This window comes from Homo sapiens, chromosome 16 (assembly GCF_000001405.40).
Source record: "Homo sapiens chromosome 16, GRCh38.p14 Primary Assembly".
Lineage (NCBI taxonomy): Eukaryota > Metazoa > Chordata > Mammalia > Primates > Hominidae > Homo > Homo sapiens.
Genome location: NC_000016.10, coordinates 86,852,290 through 86,857,589, shown reverse-complemented (window position 1 = coordinate 86,857,589; position 5,300 = coordinate 86,852,290).

Sequence of the window (5,300 nt, the reverse complement as noted above, 5' to 3'; positions counted from 1 at the left end):
GTGGCCCCATCCCATGGGTGTCTCTGGCTGAGGGAGCACGCTCAACCCACGCAGGGGCAGAAAGAGTTGCTGTAGGGTGGATGGCCCAGGAATAGCCTCCGCCAGCTTGGGTTGAAGGATCAATACCCCAGCTCCCTCACCGCTCATGCAGACCACCTGAGGGGTGCTCCCCACTGTCTCCAGGAAGCCTCTGATGGGTCCGAGTCCAGGTGTCCCTAGGGAAGCCTGACTGTCAGCACTCCCCACCGTGGCTTCCTTCCCTTCCCTGTCACACGTCCTCACGCTGCTACTAAGCTTCTTGGGATCCACCCAAATAAACTCCTGGCACTCAGTGCTCGTCTTGGGTTTGCGGACAGTCCCTAGAAGAAAACTCGACAGTTTCCAGTGAGCCTGCAGCACTGCACAATCTGGCCGCAGGGTGTCCCCTCCTGGGTCCCCTCCCCTTGGCCACCCGAGCTTCCTATGTCTGCCTTAAGTGTCCAGTTTCATCTGTGCCTCTGGATGCAGTGCTCATCCAGACCATTCCTGTCCTTCCCCTCCCTTTAACTGTCTAAATCCTACACATCCTCAGACCCCAAGTAATACCCCTCTGTAGGGCAGCCTTCCGCAGTCCCCCGCCCATCCCTTTGGTTTCTCAGCATTGGAGCATCTGCCCAGACTTTCTTCCCTTGATGCCACCATTTCTGTCTGTCTCCACAGACACCATCTGTGTCCAATCCAGCTCACCGTTCTCCTGTTCTAACATACTTCACCTGCTCCCGGCCTGGCACTGGGGTGCTCAACCCTGGCAGCCCATGGGCATCCCTGGCAGCCCTTGAAAAAACATTGACCCCCTCAGTCCTGCCTCCAGATTCTGCTTTCTGGGGGTGCAGCCTGGATTGCTGGATTTCTAGTGCATAGCCTAGGCTGAGAAACCAGTGCTAGAGTCTCACCTCACTGACCTCCAACCACTCAAGCTCCTCTCTGATCTGTGGGCATGGCCAGTAGAGCCCACCTTGGGCCTCCGCACACACTGCTGCCTCTCCCCAGAATGCTGTTCTTGTCTCTTCCATGGGGATGGCGATCCTTCATTTTTCCCTTCAGTTTTAACTCCATCGTGAATTTTTGAGAAGAGCCTTCTCTGATCACCCCAGCAGTGCTCTGTTTCATCAAGCACTGGCCACAATCTCACAGTCTTGTCTGTTGATTTTCTGTCTTTCCCACCTGGAAGGTGAGTTCCAGGAGGGCAGGGATGGATGTCACTCACCATTGTGGCCTCATTTCCTGAATGAATGAATGAATGAATGAATGAATGAATGGTAAATTATGGTTTATAGTGCTCCTGCTCTTAAAGGCACCCTGCCAGTTGCTTTGCAGGAGACCAGGCTGGTGGTCTCCACTCTTCTGTTTTTGTGATTCCAATACTCAATTCCAAGTCTCATCTAAAACCATCTTTTCTCTCCTGAACGGAATCCACGCCACCAGGCTCAAACCTGCCTCCTTCAGCAAGCCTCCCCAGGACCCTCCTCACACGTTCCCTGATGACACATTCAGGCACACACATTTATTGCGCACCAGCTGAATGCCAGCCACAGCGCTTAGGTGGGGATTCAGCTGTGAACAGCATCATCGGGGAGCAAGCCAGACCTGTGGTGCAGAACCACAGAGGCAAGGAGCCACAGCACCAGAGATTGGCAGGGACCATCCCTCCCATCACCCATCTCCTGATCTAGATGGAGTTGGGCTGCTGAGTGGTACCTGAAGCATCCTAGTGCTCCTGTTCTCAAACCATTTTCATGTATGTGTGTTTTATTTGTTTTGTTTTGTTTTTTGTTTTTGTTTTTGTCTTTTTTTTTTTGAGACAGAGTCTCACTCTGTCACCCAGGCTAGAGTGCAGTGGCGCGATCTCAGCTCACTGCAACCACTGCCTCCCAGGTTCAAGCAATTCTCCTGCCTCAGCCTTCCGAGTAGCTGGGATTACAGAGGCCTGCCACTGTGCCTGGCTAAGTTTTGTATTTTCAGAGAGACGGGGTTTCGCCGTCTGGCCAGGTTAGTCTCGAACTCCTGACTTTGTGATCCGCCCGCCTCAGCCTTCCAAAGTGCTGGGATTACAGGCCTGAGCCACAGTGTCTGGCCATTTTCTTGTTTAAGATGAACTTTTGCTGCCTCTGTCTGCCTGGTGTTTGCACCCAATGCAAGCTCTCCATGTGGGAGAGGAAGAAATTAACTGAGGAACCAAGCCGGAGACAGAAGCACCAAGTCTGCACCTTTGTACCCTGCAGGGTTGTGATAAACTCCTGCCTGTTTTCCAAGGATTTTTTTCTACTCACCTTTGAACTACCTTAAAAAAATACAGTGCCCTCTTTTGACAGGCTGGCCTAATAGGAAGGTTGTCTTCCTTCTTTTTGGAACTCCTACAGAATTTCTCCCAGGCCACAAAGCTACAATGTGGGACTTTCCTTACTTAAAACGTGACTGCCGTTTTCATAGTCAACAATTCCATCCAGCACAAAGGCAAGAGAAACTCATGAGTCATGGCCATCTTTAAAGGGAAACGAAAAAACAGGTGGAAAGTAAATATTTAGAAAGGAAAGGAATAGTTCTCATTCTCATAAAAATGAGGGAGGAAAATGCCATATTGTATATTTCTTCTTATGTTCATAATCCTTTTAACCAAGGGTGCTGACAAGGAGCATTTGTATAGAAATCTTAGATGCTCTGAAGTCAATGCTTACTGCCTGTCAGAGAGACGCTTCGTCTGACCTAATACATCACACACTCTCACACTCATACACTTTTACAAATACTCACATATTCACACACATGCACATACTCTCACATATTCGCACACACACATTCTCACACCCCCACAAAGCTCACACACTTACGCACTCACCAAGCCTATGTCATCCCCCCTGTTTTTTCAGTCTCTAAAAAGCTGCATATACCAAAATGAGCAAAATATGTGAGCTATGAAATCCACCTTGTTGAAAGGCTAGGTTTTATTGGTCAGCTGGTAAATGAAAGCACATGGTGGAGAAGTGCTACGTTCAGGAACACGCTGCGACTATATTACTCCCGGCTTTATTGGTTCATCTCTAATCGGAACCAGCTGGTCATAAAGAATAGAGTTCATGGGAATCCACCCTCTGTTGAAAGCCAGGCCAGGGTGGATGCTGGAAGCTGATGAGCACAATGAAAACAGCTGTAATTGACTTGTGAGGTCAGGCTCTGGGTAAAACTGGGGGACAGAGGTGACGCTACAGCTGGTGCATAAAATGCTGGGCTCCTGGTTACCCATAATTGTGTAAAGAGGAGCTGAAGAGAAAAGCGTCCAAGTCTTAGGAAGCTCCTCCCAGAAGAGTCTGCTGCTGCCGGCCTGCACCCGGCAGCTTCAGAACCACAGAATCACTCTGGGCTGCTTGTTGACATGAGTCACAGTAATTATAAGGATGACACCCGTGATCCTGATGATGATGGTGATGATTACAGTGATGATGAAGATGAAGATGATAATGATGGTGAGGAAGATGATGATGGCGGTGGTGGTGATTAGCATAATGGCAGCAGTCAGAAACTCCAAACAGGCTCCATGAAGCACCAGGAAAATTTCTGTAGCAAAGCCTTGCAACTTTTTTCTTCTTCTTCTTCTGTTTTTGTTTGTTTGTTTGTTTGTTTGTGTGTTTTGAGGCAGGGCCTCGCTCTCTCTTCCAGGCTAGAGTGCAGAGGTGCCATCATAGCTCACTGCTGCCTTGACCTCTTTGGCTCGAGCAATCCTCCTGCCTCAGGCTCTGGTGTGTATCACCATGTCTAGCTAATTAAAAAAAATTTTTTTGAGCAGACAGGGTCTCACTATGTTGCCCAGGCTGGTCTCAAACTCCTGGGCTCAAGTGATTCTCTCGCCTCAGCCTCCCAACATTTATGTTGGGATTACAGGCGTGAGCCACTGAGCCTGGCCAAAGCCTTGCAGCTTTAATGCTGCGGGAGTTGTAACCTTGACAACAAAATTGAACAATTTTCATTTTTCCTTTGTGATTTATCTATTTTAAACACTTTTGCCCCCCTAAACAAGGAAACTGGCCTCTGAATTCTAGAAATGGAACATATACATTTGCCACCCCCATGCCTCTTCCTGTCTCTAATCAGTCCAGTGGGTCCACCCTTTGGAAAATCGTGATGTGTTAGGAGGGCCTGCAGGACATTTTTAGTGCCTGACAACATCCTACCTCTTCCTCTCCCTATAGGATTGTGTGATATGCACCTTGTTCAATACTTAACATTTCAGTTAATTTTTTAAGTTTATTTTTTATTTTTTGAGATGGAGTCTCGCTCTGTCACCAGGCTGGAATGCAGTGGCGCGATCTTGGCTCACTGCAACCTCTGCCTCCTGGGTTCAAGCGATTCTCCTGCCTCAACGTCCCAAGTAGCTGGGACTACAGGTGCGTGCCACCATGACCAGGTAATTTTTGTATTTTTAATAGAGACGGGGTTTCACCATGTTGGCCAGGATGGTCTCGATCTGTTGACCTCGTGATCTGCCCGCCTCGGCCTCCCAAAGTGCTGGGATTATAGGTGTGAGCTTTTACACAAAGATTTTTGAAATAATTTTGCAAATATTGTGAGCTCTGGGGGTGGGTTAGAGTTGGGACCTCCATCTACACTCTGGCTACGCTTCCTTTCTCCAGGCCCAGGTCAGGCAAGTCTCAAGCACACAGTCTGAAGGCAGCTTCACATTTCTTCTGAACACAGGCTGTCATCCCAGTGCTGGAAGTCAGTGAGATCAAGCTCATCTGCGATTCTTGGAGATGCTGAAGCCAAAACAATGCCAAGCTTCTATCTTCCAACTTCATCCCTTCACTTCCACTGGCCCCACAGTGAAAGTACCAAGCTAATGCGCATGGATCAAGTTCCTTCCTCCCCTGGAAACATTAGCTGCCTGAGGGCAGGGGCTTTCACTGTCTCATTCTGTGACACATCACTAGCCTGACTCAACCCATGTTGGTGTTAGCAGTCTGTATCCTGCTCACTAAATCTATTTGGGGAAATTACTGTCCACAACCATCCAATGGCCTTGCTTCTCCTTGGCAGTGATGATGATGTTGGTGATGGTGATGACGATAGTGATGGTGATGGTGTTGATGGTGATGGTGATGGTGATGGTGATGATGGTTATGATGATGATGGTGATGACGGTAATGATGATGGTGATGATGTTGATGATGGTGATGGTGATGATGGTGATGGTGATGTTGGTGATGATGGTGATGTGATAGTGATGGTGACAGTGATGATGGTGATGGTGATGATGATGGTGATGGTGA